Below are 22,182 nucleotides of genomic sequence, written 5' to 3' on the forward strand. Positions count from 1 at the left end.
CTACAATGAGATGTCATCTCACCCCAGTTAAAATGGCTTTTATCCAAAAGACAGGCAATAACAAGTGCTGACAGGGATGTGGAGAAAAGGGAATCCTCTTACACTGTTGGTGGGAATATAAATTAGTACAACCATATGGAGAACAGTTTGGAGGTTCCTCAATAAATTTAAAACAGAGCTACACCATACAATCCAGCCACCCCACTGCTGGGTATATACCCCACAGAAAGGTAATAAACATATTGAACAAATATCTGCACTCCTATGTTTGTTGCATCACTGTTCACAATAGCCAAGATTTGGAAGCAACCTAAGTGTTCATCAACAGATGAATGGATAAAGAAAATGTGGTTATTTATACACAATTGAGTACTATTCAGGCATAAGAAAGAATGGGATCCAGTGATTTGCAGCAACATGGATGGAACTAGCAGTCATTATGTTAGGTGAAATAAACCAGGCACAGAAAGACAAACATCACACGCTATCACTTATTTGTGGTATCTAAAAATCAAAACAATTTAAACTCATGGAGATAGAAAGCAGAATGATGGTTACCACAGGCTGGGAAGAGTATTGGAGAGGTCAGGGGGAAGGTGGGGATTGTTAATGAGTACAAAAAAATGGAAAAAGTGAATAAGATCTAGTAATTGATAGCACAACAGGTTGATTATAGTCAATAATAATTTAATTGTACATTTAAAATAACTAAAAGAGCATAACTGGATTGTTTATAACACAAAGAATGAACGCTTGAGGGGATGGATACTCCATTTTCCATGATGTGATTATTATGCATTGCATGTCTGTGTCAAAACATCTCATGTATCCTATATATACACCTACTATGTACCCACAAAAATTAGAAATTAAAAAATTTAAAAAAGAACAAAATTTAATAAAAGGAGATAAATTAACCATAAATGCATGAGGTAATTTCTATGTTTTCTATCCTGTTCTATTGGTCTATGTGGTACTGTTTCTATGCCAGTACCACGCTGTTTTGATTACTATGGATTTATTATGTATTGATATTTTAGAGTCAGTTAGTGTGATGCTTCTAGCTTTTTTCTATTCACTCAAGATTTCTATGGATGTTTGGTGTCTTTTGTGGATTCATACAAATTTGTGGTTAGTTTTTCTTTTACTGTGAGAATTGTCATTGGAATTTTGATAGGGACTGCACTGAATCTGACATTTTAATTTTTTTTTTGAGACAGAGTCCGGAATTTTGACAGGGACTGCATTGAATCTGACATTTATATATATATATATATATATATATATATATTTTTTTTTTTTTTTTTTTTTTTTTTTTTGAGACAGTCTTGCTCTGTCACCCAGGCTGGAATGCAGTGGCGTGATCTCTGCTCACTGCAACTTCCGCCTCACGGGTTCAAGCGATTCTCCTGCATCAGCCTCCCGAGTAGCTGGAACTACAGGCACATGCCACCACACCTGGCTAATTTTTTGTATTTTTAGTAGAGACGGGGTTTCACCATGTTAGCCAGGATGGTCTCGATCTCCTGACCTCGTGATCCGCCCGCCTCGGGCTCCCAAAGTGCTGAGATTACAGGCGTGAGCCACTGCACCAGGCCTGATATTTTAATATTTTTAATTATTCCAATCCACGAACATGAAATATCTTTCAATTTATTTGTGCCTTCGTTTATTTGTTTCATCATTGTTTCATAGTTTTCAGGGTAGAGATATTTCACCTCCTTGGTTAAATTTATTCTTAAGTAATTTTGTTTTACAGCTATTGTAAATGAGATTATTCTCTTGATTTCTCGTTTTGGATAGTTTACTGTTAGCATATAGAAGAACTACTGATTTTTGTACAGTATTCCCTTCACTTTCAATCTATGTGTGTCCTTAAAATTGAAGTGTCTTGTAGACAGCATGTAGTTGAGCCTTCCTTTTTATCCATTATGCCCCTATTTCTTTTGATTTATATAGTCTATTCACAGTCAAAGTAATCATAGACATGTAGCTTACTACTACCATTTTGTCGATTGTTTTCTGATTGTTTTGTAGGTTCTTTTTTCCTTTCTTTCTCTCTTGCTACCTTCCTTTGTGGTTTGATGATTTTTTGTTGTTGTTGTAGTATTCTTTGATTCCTTTCTCTATTTTTTATACCTATTACAGGCTTCCGCTTTTTGGTTACCATGAGGCTTACATAAAACATGTTAGGTTGGTGCAAAAGTGATTGCTGTTTTTGCCATGACGTTTTGCCATTAAGGCTTTTGTTTGCCATTAAATGGCAAAAACAGCAATTGCTTTTGCACCAACCTAATACTTAAAAAAGACTGTTTTAAGCTGATAACAACTTAATCTTGATGGCATTAAAAAACTCTACACTTTTACTCATTCCTCCATTGTGTGTGTGTGTGTGTGTGTGTGTGTGTGTGTGTGTGTGTGTGTTGTTTGTTTGTTTGAGACAGGGTCTCGCTCTGTCACCCAGGCTGGAGCACTGGTGCTCACTCAACTCACTGCAACCTCTGCCTCACAAGTTCAGGTGATTCTCATGCCTCAACCTTTTGAGTAGCTGAGACTACAGGGGTGTGCCACCACACCCAGCTAATTTTTGTATTTTTAGTAGAGACGGGGTTTCGCCATATTGGCCAGGCTGCTCTTGACCTCCTGATCTCAAGTGATCCACCTGCCTTGGCCTCCCAAAGTGCTGTGTTTACAGGCATGAGCCACTGTGCCCAGCCCATTTTGTGTCTTTCATGCCACAAGTTACTTCTTTTTATAATGTGTATCTTTTAACAAATTCTTGTGGTTACAGTTGTTTTTAATAGTTTTGATGTTAACCTCCATACTAGAGACATAATTGATTTACACACCACCATTACATTGTTAGAGTATTCTGAATTTGACTGTGTACTTACTTTTACCAGTAAGTTTTATACTTTTATATATTTTCATGTTTCTAGTTAGCATCATTTTCTTTCTGCTTGAAGAACTCCCTTTAGCATTTCCTGTAAGGCAGGTCTAATGGCGATGGACTCCTTCAGCTTTTGTTTGCCTGGGAAATTCTATATTTCTCCCTCATTTCTGAAGAACAACTTTTCTAGATAAAGTATTATTGGTTTACATGTGGAGAGGGGCAGTTAACACTTTGAATATATCATCCCACTCTCACCTGGCCTGCAAGATTTCAGCTGAGAAATCCACTGATAGCCATTTATGTGAAACCACAAAAGACCCCAAATAACCAAAGCACTCTTGAGAAAAAAGAACAAAGCTCAAGGCATTATACTTCCCAATTTCAAACTGCAGTACAATGCTATGTTAGTAAAGACAGTATGGTACTTGCATAAAAACACACGTAGGACAATAAAACAGAATAGAGAGCCCAGAAATAAATTTAGGCATATATGTTAAACTAATTTTTGATATGGAAACCAAGAATACATGATAAGGAAAGGATATTCTCTTTAATAAGTGGGGTTGAGAAAACTGGATATCCAAATTCCAAAGAATAATATTGGGTCCTTACCTTATACCATACATAAAAATCAAATGAAAATGGATTAAAGACTTAATCATTAAGACTTAATACAACACCTTGAAGAAAACAAAGAGAATAAACTCCTTGACACTGGCCTTTTCAGTAATTTTTGTATGTGCTACCAAAAACATAGGCAACAAAAGAAAAAAAATTTAAATGGGACCACACCAAACTAAAAAGCTTCTGTACAGTAATGGAAACAATCAACAAAGTGAAAAGGCAGCCTACAGAATGGGATAAAATACTGTAAACCATATGTCTGATAAGAAGTTAATATTCAAAATATACAAGGAAATTACGCTACTCAATAGCAAGAAAACAAGTAACCCTGTTTTAAAAAATGGGCAATGGACCTGAATAGACATTTTCCCAAAGAAGACATAGGAAAAACTGCTCAGTGGCACTAATCAGGGAAATGTAAATCAAAACCACAATGTGATATTCCCTCACATCTGTTAGGATGGCTATTATCAAAAAGGCAAGAGATAACAAGTGTTGTTGAGGATGTGGAGAAAAGCGAACCCATGTACACTGTTACTGGGAGTGTAAATTGGTAAAGCCATTATGGAAAATAATATAAAAGATCTTTAAACAATTAAATATAGAATTACCAAATATGCTCCAGATTATATGGCTCTCCTGGTTATATACTCAAAGGTAATGAAATCAGTACCTTGAAGGGATATCTGCACTCACATGTTCATTGCAGCATTATTCACAATATCCAAGATATGGAATAGATTGAAGTATCCATTGAGTGGATAAAGAAATTGTGGAATGCATATACAATGAAATGTTATTCAGACTTAGAGAAGAAGGATATTCTTCCATTTGTGACAATATGGATAAACCTAAAGGGTATTATGTAAAGTGAAACAAGCCCGACACAGAAAGAAAAATACTGCATATTATATGTGTAATCCAAAGAAGTTGAATACATGGAAGCAGAGTAGAACAATGATTACCTGGGGCTGGGAGGTGGGAGGAATATGGAGATGTTGCTCAAATGGTATGAAGTCACAGCTATGTGGGATGAATAAGCCTAGAGCTATAATGTATTGCATGAATACTGTTATGTACAATGAAAATTTGCTGACACCAGAAAAACCCAAAAAGGTAACTATATGAGGAGATAGATGTGGGTATTTGCTTCACTATAGTAATCATTTCACTATGTATATCAAAACATCTAGTACACCTTAAATATATACAATTTTTATTTGAAAAATGAAAATAGGAAAAACAATAGAACAAGAATAACCAAAATGATTCTGAAGAATAATGTTGAAGAACTCACGCTACCTAATTTAAAGACGTAGTGTAAAACTACAGTAATCAAAATAGTGTGGTATTGGTTAAAAAAAAATGGACCAGAATAGAGTCCAGAAATAGACTCATGCATATATGATCAACTGACTTTCAACAAAGGTGCAAAAACAATTCAATGGAGAGAGAGAATCTTTTTAACAATAGGAGTCTAGAAGCAAAAACAATAAAACAAAAAATACAAAATGGACAAACAAAAAACTACCTTATTCCAGCCAGGCGCGGTGGCTCACTCCTGTAATCCCAGCACTTTGGGAGGCTGAGGCAGGCTGATCACGAGGTCAGGAGATCGAGACCATCCTGGCTAACATGGTGAAACCCCGTATCTACTAAACAAAATACAAAAAATTAGCCAGGCATGGTGGCAGGCGCCTGTAGTCCCAGCTACTCGGGAGGCTGAGGCAGGAGAATGGTGTGAACCCGGCAGGTGGAGCTTGCAGTGAGCCCAGATTGCACCAGGGCACTCCAGCCTGGGCGACAGAGGGAGACTCCATCTAAAAACAAACAAACAAGCAAACAAACAAAACCAACCTTATTCCACATGCAATAGTTAACCTAGTGTGTGTCATAGAGTTAAATATAACACCTAAAACTGGAAAACTTCTAGGAAAAAAAAAAATATCAGAAGATATTTTTGGCCTTCTGTGAAGCAAAGATTTCTTGGATTAAAAAAATCCATTAAAGAAAAACTAGGTACTTTGTACTTCAAAACTAAAAACATCTTCTGCTCTTCAAAATACATGGTTAGGAGAAAGAAAGACAAGGTACATATCAGGAGAAGATGTTTGCAAAACATCACATATGGGGAGAAAATATTTGCAAAACACATCTCTTATAAAGTACTCATTTCCAGAATATAAAAAGTACCCTCAAATCTCAATAAGAAATGAAAATAACTCAATTAAAAAATTGGCTGAAGATTTGAACAGACACCACAAAAGAAGACATGGATGGCTAATAGGCACATAAAAAGATGCTCAGCATCATAAATTATTAGGGAAATGCAGATCAATGCAATATGTTACTACTAAGCACCTATACTGGTAGCTAAAATGAAAAGAAATACTTTTTAAAATGAAAACAACACTGCCCATCTGGCAAATTTTAGTTTATAATTGTCATTCACCCTTACATTAATAGAATCAAGTATATGAACCCAGTGATCAGTGGATATGGGAAGTCCAGTGTATCCATTTCACTTTTAACAGTGAGTCTTCTTTTTGTGCTTTTCTCCTGCTTTTAGGGAACCCCAGTCTCTTTTAAAATTTTTATTTTTATTTTTGGCTCGATTTCTTGCCCCTGTTCATTCTTTGTGTTTCAACTGCTTTTGTGTTTATTTATGTCTGTCCCACAAGAATGTGATGTCACCCATGACAAGCACCACATTTTGTTGGTCTCTTCATTTCCAGCATTCCAGAAATTTCCTGAAACATAGCAAGCATCAAGCCATATTTATTGAATTAATATTTTGTAATGACCCAGACAGGGAAAGCATCCCCTCCATTGTGGAACCAGTATTGGAAATGTTATGTTCATAAACACTATACATATAGTCTTTTGTTTTATGCCAGACACCAGGGGAATGGCTCAGCCTTGGTGCCTTGGTGACCCTGCCACAAGGAATTTTCTCACTTGCCTCCTATCTTGCTGGTGGCTGACATGAGATCATTACTCATCCATCTCCCTAGTAGTTGAGCACAAGATGTTCCTTGTTGCCCCACCTTAGGGTACAGTTCTGGGTATAAAATTGCTTACTGACTTACCACAGTGTAGTTATGGACTTCTAAATGGCAGAGAGACCCACCACCTGCACTGTTACCGAGAGCCTCTGATTTGATGTCAAACTGTGGGACTAGGGAAGCAGAAAGCTGATACAATGCTTTTCTTGCTTGTGCTGTCTGTAAGTAGTAAACTATTTGGATCTATTTGAACTCATTGTCTTCCTACTAGCTGACTCTATGAATGTGTGAGAAGCCAACCTAACAATTGCAGTGGTGATCCTTGTGGCACTAGTTAACCACCACAGGGCTGCTTAGGGACTGCTTGACCACTTGACAGACAGACTGATATTGAGTTGTCTGGTATTGCATGACCAGAATATTGACTTATTTTCGTTGGCATCACATACAGCAAGGAGCAGTTTTCAGCACATACGATGACCTAAGGTGGCCTTTGCTAGGCCTCTGTCATTTACAAACCAACTTTAGATACAATACCATATCTGATACCAACTACACTGCTATTTAATGTTTACTTAAATCAAACTAGTTTCTGAGCTCAGATTCTTTCGGTTATATAATATAATTACCTGAAATTCAAAATCAGTATCTCTTACTAGAGATATAATTGTAAAAGTAAATGAAATAAAAAATTAATTAAAAAATGGACTATAACTAGTGAACCAAATCCATTTATACTGTAATGCCTACTTCATATGTGTTATCTTACTCATTTATTATTATTATTTTTTTTTAGTAACGATGAGGTCTTGCTATGTTGCCCAGGCTAGTCTCAAACTCCTGGGCTCAAGCAATCCTTGGCCTTCCAAAGTGCTGAGGTTATAGGCATGAGCCACCATGCCTGGCTTTATCTCACTTATTAATAATAGTAATACTTTAGTGTAAATAATGTAATTTATATTTTAGTAATGCAAAACAGTTCCAAAGGATGTATCTTTCTCACTTTCACACAGCCAGTTTGCGTCAGAGCCAGGATGAAAAACCATGGCTATTTCATGCTACAGCCTATAAAGGGACAGTGTAGGTAGGAACCAAGACATTTTGCCTCAGCTACTACCCCTTTCATTCCTACCTAGCTTCTAATCTTTGCAGTTAGCTCCAGCATCTAGGAACCTCTCACATATTTTGTGAAAATTGATATACCCTGCATTTTTCTCATTTTTAAATTTTAACCATAGATTTTTAGTCTTTTTGGATCAAGAAAATATTTTTAACTTGCAAGTAGCAGAAATAGTTGCTATTTATAATCCTGTGTCTTTCCCTAAGCAAGGTGGATTTTAGGTAGGGTCTTTTCTGGTATAATTGTAAATGTGTGTGAATATGAATGGGGCTCAGAGTTATAACCTGCTGTCATTGTGTAAAGTAATAAGGGTGCAAGGCTGGAATTAGGCAGCTTTGGAGGCTTCTTAGTGAGATATGGTGAATATCAGGCCAATAAAGAATTTTACAGAGGAAAAAATAGATTTGACACTGCTCCTTCTCAATCTCTAAATTAACTTTGAGAAAGAACAGAAGGGGATACAAGAGAAACTTTCCTTCAAGGAAAGAACAAGGACTTTTAAGTAAAACAATTTTATATTAATATGTTGATTAAATTTTTATGAAAGTATCCTATTACTGGCTAATGTCATCATGTACTGTGTTAGTTCCTTACACAACACTTTCAGAAGCATATACTTTAAGAAAAGTATCAGCATAAAAACATGAGCAGGTGGCTTTCAGAGTGACAGCATCATTAGAGGCATCTAAGCATTCAGAAAAGATGTGCCTCACAAGGTTTGAAGGGATGGGAACCTGGAGCTGCCCCTTCTGTCACTGCCTTTGAAGTCCTAAAATTTAAAATTGTAAGAGACAGAAGCCATACAGAAACAGATGAGCATAGGAAAGCCTAGCCCTTCACAACTCACAATTTGTAGAGATTTTATTTCCAGCAAATGGAAAAAGTTTTACATTCCAATTCACATTAAAACGCTAGCATAACCTTGATACCAAAGTCAAACAAAGATAGTACATGAAATCAAAGTGTAAGTTAATCTCACTCATTATATATATAGATATATACATATACCCTAAATAAAATATTAGGACATAGATTATTGAAAAAGGATAACATTTCAAGAACCAATTGTGTTTACCCTACAAATGCAATGTTGGTTAAATGTACTCAGTGTATTCACCACAGTAATAAATAAATAGAGGAACAAATCCTATGATAATCACAGTCGATGAAAGTCAACATATATCCAAGAAGAATACTCTCAGGAAACTAGAAATAGAAGGAACTTCTGATAAAGCATATCTGCAAGTAAAATCTACAGTAAATCATGGTAAAATGTTGAATATTTTCCATTTCTTATCAGGAATAAGATGAGGGTGTCCACTATCACCAGTTCAATTCCACATTGTACTGGATGAGTCTGTCCAATGTCATAAAATGAATTAAGGAAATGAAGAGTAACATACTTTAAAAGGCAGACTGAAAAGTATTATTACTCACAGATGGCATGATTGTATATGTTGACAATCAAAAAGGACCTAGAGAGAAACTTTTGGAATTAATAAGCATATTTAGCAAGGTTTCTGGAGAGAAAAATCAATACATAAAATTATATCTCTATATACCAGCTCAAACAAAATATAAATTTTCAAAAAAGATACAATTTTCAATAGCATGAAACACCTAATTATTCCTAGTTTGACATAAGTTGCACAAGACTTCTTTGCAGACAATTGTGAAACTTTATTGAGAGAATTTTACTGGTGAAGTTTCCAACATAAAGACTGCATGTATGGTTTCAGCTTGTCTTCATTTAAACCGATGGTTGCCCTTCACCTATAAGATAAACATAATAGTTGAGAGTATTTTTTAGCAGAACTTTTTATGATGACACTACGGGTTGAAAAAAGGCATAGTTTTGGTTTTATGAAATGAACTATAACAAGGTAACCCTCTGGCTTATATCCAGTTAAACCGCTATAGAGACTTTGAAGGTAGGCTTTCAGGTATATTAACAATATTTTAAAATCCCACTCATTTTTCTAGTGTATAAGAAAGAGTTTGAGTTCGAAATGATTTGATCAAATGAACCTATTTAAAGAAAGTTTTAACTAGAAACTAAAAACTGCATGTAATTTTAGAAAAAAAAAATCCAACTAACCAAACATAAGCAAACATAAAACTTAGGAAACAAAAGAAATTTGAAATAATGTTTTGAATATAGGATAGCTCAAACAGTAATGACACATTTGAAAGTGCTTAAGTGGCATAAATAGAAAGGCTAGTATTATATTTGTTTTGTTTCTGTTATGGGAAAATGCTAAAATGTTTTTGATTAGTTTACTCTTTATATGGTTGTTTTAAGTAGGTTAACCATTTGTCTCTGTTTTCACCTGTGGTTCTAGTATAATTATCAATAATGCCTCTTTGCACAGTTAAAAATATTCCAGTTTGTCCAATAAATTATATCGTCACACTGGTTGCAAGCCATTATTATTATAGATGAAGTGTTAAAAAGAAATAGTAATGATTCTCACAATTTGGCAAAACGGGGATCAGAAGGAGAGGGAGAGGAGGAGAGAGAGAAAGAGAAGAGACTGAGGAATCTAGAAAAGCCAAATACAAATAAACAAACAATAGCTTTTTTTTTTGTTTCTAAATGATAAATACTTTTGATGGAAAATTCTGGCAAGTTTTAAAAGTTCATCCATGTTATGATGTTTAAATATTCATTTACTACTGTGGTATAGTAAATGATTTTATGTTTTGCTAGCATATCAAACATTGCATCAAATTTTGAAAATTGTTTAGAGCTCAAGAATGTATCCACTTTTAATTATATTACACATTCAATATCTGTCCTGTCTTGTTCCTATTTTTTATTGTGTATACTTGAGCTTTGCCCATTTTCTTCAACATTATGTAAACTAGGGGATCCTCTATTCATAGATATGTTGAAAATCTCTTTTATTTACTAGTTGAATTATTTCCCTTAAATAAAGACTTATACCTGTCTTTTATTAAGTATATTTTTCCTTCTCCCTTATGTTTATCTTGTGCCTTTTTCTTATTTTTTATATTGAATGCTCATATAATTTTATATTTTTATTTTTTAATAACATGTATTTAAAGCAATGATCTTCCTATGAGTATATGTTGAATAGGTTCCTGAACATAGCCTGAAAAATATTTTTAATCTAAATATTCTAATGGAATGGATCAGGAATGTAGAGCAAAAGCAGTAGACTAATGCAAGATAATTTCTTTCCTAAACACTAAGTGTTTATATTAAATTCAGAAGCTCATATAACTAATGCCTAGAAGTTTGGAAAAAACATGTGTAAAACGTACTTAAGTTGATTACTCAAATTTTAATATATTTGATTTTGACCCATTTTTATAAGAGCAAATATGGGTTTAGAAGATAAGGAATTTGCCCAAAGTCAGTGAAATTTTGTTAGAGCTTGGATTAGAGCCTACTTAATTGCCTCAGCATGTTTCATACAGTGAATATCTGTTACAAATTCATTAGGTATTTATTAAAAGCAGACCTTTATAAAAGTATCTGATATTACTAGCTGTTGGTTTAGGAACTGATACTAAAAAGTAAGAAAATACCTTCACATTTTATAATTGAATGTGGCTTTGACCCAATGTGGTAGGATCTATGATGGTGCTTGTTTATTAGTCAGGCTTTTGGGGACTGAACTATCTTTCAAAGAATCTTTATATATGAACTCTGTTAAATTATATTAGCAGTAGTGGTACCTCTATATTATAAAATATATAGTATTTTTGAAAACAGAAACCCCATAATTTGCATTTTTAATGAATAACTTACCTGCTTCTGGTATTTTAACAGGCTCCAGATTTGGCAGAAATTCTCCCTTGACATTAGGACCATCTCCACGTTCACCCCCAGTCTTTGACCGAGTCAGTTCCCAGAGATAGGCTGCCAGGCCTAGCACTTAAAAATAAAAAACATTACCAATTTAAGTTGTAAAACATAAAATATAAATAAAAGAATGATAATATTCACTCCCTCAATGTTATGAAATAAAAGCCTATAGGCTAGTGTGGTAATACACGCAATGCATAAGAATTTCAAGAACATTATTTCAGGACTCTTACCAGAAAAAGAAAACAAAATTTTCCAAATATTATCACCCTTTTCTTTTCCCACAACTGCCCCAGACAGATTAGTTGAACCCTCTGTAGGTATATGTTATTGTACTTATCATTTCAAATTAGTGATTCATTTGAGTCTGTCTAACTAGATTGTGAGCTCAAGGCTGAAATCATCTCTTTCATTAGTATTTACATCCCTAAAGCCTACATATTGCATGGCATGAGTCACTGTGAATAAGTGTTGAGTGAAAAAAAAGTATTTAAAAATACAGCCTATACTGATGAACGCTCTGCAAAACAACTGGTCCATTCTCTTAAAAAATACCAGTGTCATGAAAGACGAAGAAAGAGTGAAGAACTGGTCCAGATTAAAAAAGATTAAATAGGATTGACAACTATATGTAATGCATGATCCTGGAATCAGAAAAAAAACTATAAGGGAAATTATTAGGACAACTGGGGAAATTTGAATATAAGCTATATATTAAACAACTGCATTTTTCATTGTTGAATTCCCCAAATTTAATAAACATACAGGGGTTATCCAAGAGAATATGGCTATATAATAGAATAGTGGGTATGAAATCAATGTGGCAAAACTCTAAACATTAGTTAATCTAGGTGAAAAGCATATGAGTTGATTATAATAATCTTGCAACTTTTCTGTAAATTTTATATTTTTACAAAACATAAATTAAAAATAAAAAAGAATAAATGACAACTATGTTGGAGTTCAGGAAGACAAGAGTTATTTTTGACAACATTAACAGCAACTAGGATTGGACTTCAGACAAGACTGGGTGCATTCAGGGTGGTATGGCTGTAGATGGATTGGACTTCATGTATTTGTTTTCCTGCATTACAAAAACCTCCATTTTAAATGACATTATAAGGACAAACCACAAAACATGTGCCGTCCTTATATTTTACCATAGTGCTGTAAGGGGAATAAACATCAGCCATCCAGGAAATCAGAACTTTACACCATGGATAAGATTTAAATTACATTTAAAATATAATTTTATGAAGAATTAGCTGAATGGATTTGTAAGCGTATGACATATCTTATAGTCATGACACCCATAACCTATTGGGGTAACAAGAAACTTATTTTGTTAAAATAAAGTTACTTTTAGGTCCAAAGGTCTTATATGTTACTTTCCATAAATGAATTCCATATATAATGAAGTTGTAAAAACAACAGCAAAATTATTTGTGAATACAGCAAAATCGTTGACTTCCAGCAAGAATAATGGGAAGTGGAATGGAAAGAATTTAATGGGTATTATTGTCATCATAATTCTGGGACTCTTTCAATAGTGAATTGCTAAAATAATCTATGGCTTGAGCTATGTAAATATTTTGCTCCAAAATGCCATACCTGGAAGAACTAATTGTTTCATGATAATCGTAGGTACATAACCTTTTGATGTTTCTAGCCATAAGAGGATTTAACCACCTTTTAAAACCACTTAAAAATTATACTGAACCAGCTACCTATATGCCAATATCCTGAATTGTTCAGCTATTAACTAAACTTTCCATACACAAATTTCAATCAAAGTAAACAGTGGCTATCATTCATTGAGTCATTCTCTGGAATCACATTCTGTTCCACTGAATTGGGTCTATTCCAATGCCAGTACTGAGCTATCTCACAGTATAGACATTTTAGTATTAAACAGTTTAAGCAAAATCATTCACTTTTTCTTACAGCAATCTAGATGGTAAGAAGAATACATACTTTGGAATAATATACAAATTATTTCTCCACCAGTGAAGTGCCCTTTGGTAAGACACAATCTCTGAGTCTCAGTTTTCTTACTTATCAAGTGGGATTTATATTTCTATGCAAGCTCATTTAATCCAAGGTGTTACATATGATATATATATATATATATATATATATATATGTAATATATATATCACATACCATATATAGATTTATATCTCGATGCAAGCTAGTTTAATCCAAAGTGTGAATTAGTGTGGATATGAGATATATATACATATATATAATATATATATGTGATCTATAATATATGTATAATGCCTTAGCACTCTACGCATGCTATTAAAAGTTGCTTAAACTTTTAATATAATTACTAAGAAGGACAGACAATATTCTAAGATCAAGTTTAACTAGTGAAATAGTATACAATTTGGAGTAAAATTAAACATAGTTTCCCTGGATTTGCTAATGAAATGCTCTGGCAAGCATAACAAGTAAGTCTTGAAGGTCGAATGCATTATACTAAGGGACTGCCCTTGGCTGTAAACTATGCCTTCTTCACTTTTCCAGCCAATTTTCAGGAAATGTTTGAGATCTCTTTCTATTGCTTTTTTCCTCCTTTTACTTCCATATCATAATACATGATATATACATACACCCCCTCCATTCATAGGCATTCTTCCTCTCCCACGCTTCACCTTGGAAGTCCAGTGCTCCCTCGTCTCTCTCTTGACCAGGTGTATAATCCTGACTTTCAATTGGTGGTTCCTCTTGTTGAAGCTGGTCATTACTGGGCAGCTCCTGGGCCTAGGAATATGAGTGCGTGTGCAAATAAAAAGGTCTGTTATTAATAATGCATGTCAATAATATACATATACTCAATATACAAATATATCTTACCATAAATAAGTCTAAAGACATTTTTTTCCTACACAATTCTACATATACTTATTCTTAATAGTTACTACAAGAGAAAGTTACCCTTAAAAACTTGGGAAGCTATTTGAATCCAGGCTGGAATTGATGTATACAATGTGTTATGAATAAGCAGGAGAAGGAAGCCATAGAGAATATTTCTGGGGAATATAAAAACATAGCCATCCAGGCAACATTAGAATGCAAACATCCAAATCTATGTTTACTTCACGAGATTCAATTATTACCATTTACAAGCATGGAAAACCTTATTAATATATCAATATTAGTTCAACAACATTTTCACAAAAATAAGTTTCTAATAGAAAATATCAAATGTTAAAATACTCACAACCACAGCCCCTACTGGATGATTAGAGTCTTGATCATCTCTTCTTTCTCTAGATCTGGATCTTGTTCTTTGATGTCCACTCATGTTTCACTCTGAAAGTGGCATACTGTGATTCAGAAAATGTACATAAGAGTGTATCATTTGACCTTTTCCATGGCTAAATTGGAAAGCATGCAAGCTCACGATTACCCTGGGACTTAATTTTAAGATGTTTTCAAAAATTTTTAGGTATCATCTAATTTAGCCAAATATGGCTGCTTGCAAAGTCATTAATGTTATGGCTATGGTAGCAGGCAAGGCTCATGGCAAGATAGAGGACTTCTCTGTGAGTTTTGGTTTCACAATTAGACTCTCCATCATGAAGATATCTAGGAAAATATAGGTAGAGAATTGGAACCGGAGTGACTACTGCTTTTGCCCCACTCTCATTTACTCAGCCCATTTACCCCCTAAAATCAAGTTTTATTGGAACGCACAGCCTCTCCCATTCCTGCCCGAGATGTCAGTGGCGGAGGTGTGAAGTTGCAAAGCCGAGTGAAGGGCATGCTCCTCACTCTCTGCCACCGTGGAGCGCTCTACAGACCTCGGGGCAGCGGTTATCAGCCCGCAGTGTTCCTAGTTTCCAGGCCCCTTCCTTACTGCCCACCTCGCCCTGCCACTGCCCGGTTAAGAACTGGGGAATCTGTCCTCCCTCTCAGGGTTCCAGGCCTTTCGGCACTCAGATACCTCCAACAGCACGCCCAGCACTCGCCCCATCTTCACGTGATTCCTCCCCTCTACGGTCCACCTTCCTCCGTCGTCCTGGCCCAGAAACGACGACAAAGGCCCATGGGGCGTCGCGACCTGGGAGGAGCCGGACGTCGACGGCGAGGCCCTTTTCTCTCAGAAGCCACGGACTGTGGTTTCTGTGCCGCAGGACCTGTCCAAAGCCCGCTGGCTCCCCTTCACATTCACTCACAACTAAATTCCCAGGAGGACTGATCTGCGGACCTACCAGCTGAGTCCCAGTCAGTGAGAAAGAATGAAGAGGACAGGAGGACCACCTCTCAGGGCAGAGCTCTGAGCGCAGACAGCAGACAGCAGACAGCAGACAGCAAGGCACATGCGCAATAATGGACATGCCCAGCAACGGACATGCATAGGGATGCAGCTTGTGTTACGTAGGCTGAGGTTTTCTTGCCTCTGTTGACTAGGAGCCACAAGGTTTCTTGAGTATTGAAAGGGGCTTGCACAGCTCTTTTACTTTTCCTTCCTAAACTTTTTGACATCTAAAGTAAGGGTCCCTGAGGCTCGAGGTCAAATTAACTATCATGCCCAATACAACTCTCACACTTCCCTCATAAATAGAGGGAAGAGGGATCATAAATACATGACATTTAACTGCACCCCAGGCCCAGCCCAAGGACAGCCTTACACAGGATGGCAAGTGAACAAGAGGGCACCTGTACCTGTTGATCCTTTTTCCTGAGGTCTAGTTTGTATTAACTAACTCTTGCCTTTTGAAAAACAAACACTGTTATCTGAAGTTTAATGTGAACCTTTAAAGATGCATTGTTTTTAGACAAAAAGGACATATTTGATATGGGCCACTAGGGTTACCACAAAATACATAGTTGTTGATGAAATGTAATTTGCATCTTTAATGTAATGAGCAACGAACAGCATTTTAAAGAAACACAATAAAATAAAATAGAAATCATCAGAACTGCATTTAGGATATACACATAGCCTACACACACACACGTACAAACATACATGTTTACACACATATATTTATGTTCAGTCCACATCTCCTGCCCTCAAGCTGGGATTTACACCATCTGCTTCCCTAGTTCTCAGGCCTTCGGATCTGAATTGAAGTACATCACTGGTTTCTGGTCTCCTGCTAGCTTGTAAATGGCAGACTGTGGGACCCAGTCTTCATAATTGTGTGAATCAATTTTTCACACAATGTTATATATATATATAATACACACACACACACACACACACACACACACAGATAAGGAAAAGGGCCAGGATATCAGCCCTACTCACTTCTCTTCAGCACTGTCCTGGTGAATCTAGTTAGTGCAATGAGACAAGAAATGAAATAAAAGGCATCCAGATTGAAAAGGAAGAAGTAAAACTGTATGACTCATAGATAACATAATCTTTCGTGTAGAAAATCTGATAGAATCTATAAAACAGTTACTAGAAACAAGTGAGTTGCAGAATTAAAAATCGATATACAAAATTTAATTGTATTTTTGTGCATCAGCAATACAAACTTGGATTGGCATTTTTAATAGTATGCATTATAGTATCGAAGAATATTAACTGCTAAGGGATGAATCTGAATAAGGAAATTCAAGACCTATAACATATTGAAAAGTACAAAAGATGGCTGAGTGAAAATTTCAGACCCAAATAAAATTAAGAGATATATCTTGTTCATGAATCAAAAGAGTCAATATGCTTAAGATACAGTTTCCCCAAATTGAGCTATAGATTCAAAGCAATTCCAATCAAAATCCCAGAGGGTGTTCTTTTTGGAGAAATTGATAAACTGATCTTCTAAAGTAAAGAGAAAGTTTTTAGGCAGAATCAGACAAGTGCAGAAACATATATACATGAGTACAACCACTAATCAGACAAGTGCAGCTGCTCTGTCTATGGTGTAGCCATTATTTTATTCCTTTACTTTCTTAGTAAACTTGCTTTCACTTTGCACTGCGGACTCGCCCTGAAATTCTTTCTTGTGTGAGATCCAAGAACCCTCTCTTGGGACATGGGGTCGGGTCCCCTTTCCTGGGACATATTTCTGGCCACCACAGAAGGGACTATAGTGAAGAAACCCTGACCCAATGGCTACCTTTGGGTAAGTGTTGGGGTCCTGTAACATCTCTCTGGTGACCACCGAAGTGATTATACTGCGGAAACCCCCAACCCAAAGGCTAACTTTGGGTAAGTGGTGGGGTCCGGTAACATCTTTCTCGTGAACCACAAAAAGGACAATACTGAAGAAACCTCCCCAATCCAAAGGAAATAGACTGCAGCACTGATTGGATGACTTTGGGTAAGTGGCAGGGGAGCAGGCTAAAGGATGGGATTGGGTTAGAGGCCCAACTTAGGGGAGTTATAGTCTCTCCTAAGACAGAGTGGATTAGAGGCCCCTCTTAATAAAAGGCAAGGACACTTGACTGACCTTGGGTTACAGGCCCAACTTAGGAGGGTTAGAGTCCCTTCTAAGATTTAGGGAGTTAGAGGCCCCTCTTGGTAAAGTCCCTCTCAGCTAAGAACAGGTTCGGCACTATAGGATGTTAACTGCTATTCTCTTTGGATTAATCTGCCTTGCACTCTTTGCTGATGGCTGTAGATGACAGGATTAGGCATGTGCAGGATTAAGGGACATGGGGAGCTTTTTCCTCCTCCAAAAGGGGAAACTTGAGAGCTGATGGGACTGCTTGAAAAAGATCCCTGCCTGACTGACAGTAGCCGCCTGAACTTTTCAATGTCGCTGCAATGGGTGGGTCTTTCTCTGGCCTCCCTGATCATTTTGCCTTCCCCACCCTACCACAGGCAATACTTTCCTTCTCTACTTTTCCTTTCCCTTTCCCTTTCTTATTATTTATTTATTTATTTGACGGAGTCTCACTCTGTCGCTAGGCTGGAGTGCAGTGGCATGATCTTGGCTCATTGCAACCTCTGCCTCCCGGGTTCAAGTGATTCTTCTGCCTCAGCCTCCCTAGTAGCTGGGACTACAGGTGCGTGCCACCATGCCCAGCTAAGTTTTTTTTTTTTTTTTTTAGTAGAGACGGGGCTTTCACCATGTTGGCCAGGATGGTCTCCATCTCTTGACCTTGTGATCTGCCCACCTCGGCCTCCCAAAGTGCTGGGATTACTGGCATGAGCCACTGCACCCGGCCCCCTTTCTTATCTTTTCTATTATTCAGGGTGACCATCTTGCCCAGAGACCACGTGTTGAAACTCCAAGTCAGAGGTTGGATTAAAGATGATGGAGCCCATCTGGGGGCAAATTTAAGCCTTGCCAGTTTGATATTGGGTGCTAAGCAGAGTGGCTAATGTCTATGTTCTATCACATGTAGTTTGCTCCAGCCAGAATGAAAAAAAATAATTTTCCTTTATGATGCAGCTTGGCCCCCAGGGCGATGGTGCCACAAGCCGGATCACTAGGGCCGCTCAGGGAAAGGGAACCCAGAAGCCTGGCATGCCGACAAAAGGGTAAGAATTTCTTACCAGTCAGATTTCTGGCTTCTCTTTCTCTGTGTAAATGGTTGAATGAATTAAAGAAACAAGCTAGTGTTTATCTCCTCTGTAAAGTTTTGATTAATGTGAAAAAGAATTCTAAGACTAGTCTTAAGCTGGTGTGTTTTGTGCTATGAATTCGTTTTTCTGTGTCGAGGGATACTTCAGGATAAAACATGGGCTTAGAACACCTGTAAACCTGTTTTTCAAGATGATCCAGAAAGCTGGTCAGTAACTACCTTGGCTGCGGGTCCCTGAAACAAACAAACAAAAAACCCAGATTAAGTATTCACGTTGTTTTATGTCCTTGGGAGCTTGACCTTTTAACCACGTGGCCATACTTTTGTTTGGTCTCCACATTCAGGGACCAGGAATTTTAGGTTCATGTCATAGTTAGCTCTAAAAACCATATTGAATAGTTAAAAGCCTTTGCAAGCTCAAAATTAACTGCTCTAGACTCCTTCTGGGAAAGAAGCTGAAGACTACTGTGAGCTGTAGCTCACTAGCTAAGGTATGGGACTTTCGCAGTGGTGGTCCGAGTTCGTATTCCTCACCTAGGAAGTAAGTCGTTTCTGGTTTAATGTTGTGTAAGTTTGTCAATTATGTTCTCCTCCATGGACTGTCTTAAATTTTCCTTTCTCTAAGCACCTGGGAGAAATTCAAAAACCAGAAATATTGGCGGTTTGGCATAAGAAATACTAAAAGGACTTTATCAAAACGTGCTAAAAGCAGATGTTCAAGCTCTAACAGCCAAGACTCCTTGGGAAAAACAGGAGGCACCAGAGACCCCTTTCCTGGCCCTGTTCTTCCAAGGGCTACACGCTAAAGCCAGTAATCCAATTAAGAAACTTAAAAACTGGCAAATGAAAAACCTTACAACTACTGTAGTAATCGTCTTCTGTCTTTCTGTGTAGCTATATAAGTGTTGTGTGTAATGTTTATATAAAAGAGCTCTAACTAATTGACTTAAACAAAAATAAGCACTTAAATAAAATATTTTAAAAGCAAAATAGAAAGTGTAATGCCACGGGGAGGAACCAAGATGGCCGAATAGGAACAGCTCCAGTCTACAGCTCCCAGCGTGAGCGACACAGAAGACAGGTGATTTCTGCATTTCCAACTGAGGTACCGGGTTCATCTCACTGGGGAGTGTCGGACAGTGGGTGCAGGACAGTGGGTGCAGTGCACTGAGCGTGAGCTGAAGCAGGGTGAGGCATTGCCTCACCCGGAAAGTACAAGGGGTCAGGTAATTCCCTTTCCTAGTCAAAGAAAGGGGAGACAGACAGCACCTGGAAAATCGGGTCACTTCCACCCTAATACTGCACTTTTCCAATAGTCTTAGCAAATGGCACACCAGGAGATTATATCCCGTGCATGGCTTGGAGGGTCCTACCCCCACGGAGCCTCGCTCATTGCTAGCACAGCAATCTGAGATCAAACTGCAAGGTGGCAGTGAGGCTGGGGGAGGGGCACCAGCCATTGCCAAGGCTTGAGTAGGTAAATAAAGCTGCCGGGAAGCTCGAACTGGGTGGAGCCCACAGGACCTCAAGGAGGTCTGCCTGCCTCTGTAGACTCCACCTCTGGGGCCAGGGCATAGCTAAACAAAAGGCAGCAGAAACCTCTACAGACTTAAATGTCCCTGTCTGACAGCTTTGAAGAGAGTACTGGTTCTCCCAGCATGCAGCTGGAGATCTCAGAATGGACAGACTGCCTCCTCAAGTGGGTCCCTGACCCCCGCGTAGCCTAACTGGGAGGCACCGTAGAGTAGGGGCAGACGGACACCTCACATGGCTGGGTACTCCTCTGAGACTAAACTTCCAGAGGAACGAACAGGCAGCAACATTTGCTGTTCACCAATATCTGCTGTTCTGCAGCCTCCGCTGCTGATACCTAGGCAAACAGGGTCTGGAGTGGACCTCCAGCAAACTCCAACAGACCTGCAGCTGAGGGTCCTGACTGTTTGAAGGAAAACTAACAAACAGAAAGGACATCCACACCAAGACCCCATCTGTATGTCACCATCATCAAAGACCAAAGGTAGATAAAACCACAAAGGTGGGGAAAAAAACAGAGCAGAAAAACCGGAAACTCTAAAAATCAGAGCGCCTCTCCTCCTCCAAAGGAAGGCAGCTCCTCACCAGCAACGGAACAAAGCTGGATGGAGAATGACTTTGATGAGTTGAGAGAAGAAGGCTTCAGAAGATCAAACTACTCTGAGCTAAAGGAGGAAGTTTGAACCCATGGCAAAGAAGTTAAAAACCTTGAAAAAAAATTAGACAAATGGCTAACTAGAATAACCAATGCAGAGAAGTACTTAAAGGACCTGATGGAGCTGAAAACCACGGCACAAGAACTATGTGATGAATGCACAAGCCTCAGTAGCCGAGTCAATCAACTGGAAGAAAGGGTATCAGCGATGGAAGATCAAATGAGTGAAATGAAGTGAGAAGAGAAGTGTAGCATTGATGCAAAAATCCTCAATAAAATACTGGCAAACCGAATCCAGCAGCACATCAAAAAGCTTATCTACCATGATCAAGTGGGCTTCATCCCTGGGATGCAAGGCTGGTTCAACATATGCAAATCAATAAATGTAATCCAGCCTATAAACAGAACCAAGGACAAAAACCATATGATTATCTCAATAGATGCAGAAAAGGCCTTTGACAAAATTCAACAACACTTCATGCTAAAAACTCTCAATGAATTAGGTAGTGATGTGACATATCTCAAAATAATAAGAGCTATCTATGACAAACCTACAGCCAATATCATACTGAAAGGGCAAAAACTGGAAGCATTCCCTTTGAAAACTGGCACAAGACAGGGATGCCCTCTCTCACCACTCCTATTCAACATAGTGTTGGAAATTCTGGCCAGGGCAATCAGGCAGGAGAAGGAAATAAAGGGTATTCAATTAGGAAATCATGTCCCTGTTTGCAGATGACATGATTGTATATCTAGAAAACCCCATCATCTCAGCCCAAAATCTCCTTAAGCTGATAGGCAACTTCAGCAAAGTCTCAGGATACAAAATCAATGTGCAAAAATCAGAAGCACTCCTGTACACCAATAACAGACAAACAGAGAGCCAAATCATGAGTGAACTCCCATTCATCATTGCTTCAAAGAGAATAAAATACCTAGGAATCCAACTTACAAGGGATGTGAAGGACCTCTTCAAGGAGAACTACAAACCACTGCTCAATGAAATAAAAGAGGCTACAA

General features: G+C 37.6%; 1 protein-coding gene across 4 annotated transcripts; it reads right to left on the reverse strand.

Moving 5' to 3' along the window:
- Positions 9,302 to 15,803, reverse strand: PAGE3 (PAGE family member 3). 4 transcript variants are annotated; one of them, NM_001303613.2, is made up of 5 exons: positions 15,701 to 15,803; positions 14,707 to 14,798; positions 14,138 to 14,246; positions 11,421 to 11,546; positions 9,302 to 9,415 (listed from the first exon to the last, which is right to left on the reverse strand). In NM_001303613.2, the coding sequence occupies exons 2-5, from the start codon at positions 14,788 to 14,790 to the stop codon at positions 9,393 to 9,395; spliced, it is 342 nt and encodes a 113-aa protein (NP_001290542.2). In that variant the 5' UTR covers positions 14,791 to 14,798; positions 15,701 to 15,803; the 3' UTR covers positions 9,302 to 9,392. The 4 variants fall into 4 exon arrangements, with proteins under 4 accessions (NP_001290542.2, XP_016884771.1, NP_001017931.3 ...); XM_017029282.3 differs by having other exon boundaries at positions 14,707 to 14,812; NM_001017931.3 differs by having other exon boundaries at positions 15,433 to 15,803.

This window comes from Homo sapiens, chromosome X, assembly GCF_000001405.40.
Source record: "Homo sapiens chromosome X, GRCh38.p14 Primary Assembly".
Lineage (NCBI taxonomy): Eukaryota > Metazoa > Chordata > Mammalia > Primates > Hominidae > Homo > Homo sapiens.

Coding starts and splice junctions, on each gene's coding strand:
- PAGE3 (NM_001303613.2), bottom strand. CDS start 14,790: ATGAGTGGACATCAAAGAACAAGATCCAGATCTAGAGAAAGAAGAGAT. Junction 14,247..14,706: donor ATCCAGTAGGGGCTGTGGTT/GTGAGTATTTTA, acceptor TCATATTCCTAG/GCCCAGGAGCTGCCCAGTAA. Junction 9,416..11,420: donor TGTTAAAATACCAGAAGCAG/GTAAGTTATTCA, acceptor TTTATCTTATAG/GTGAAGGGCAACCATCGGTT.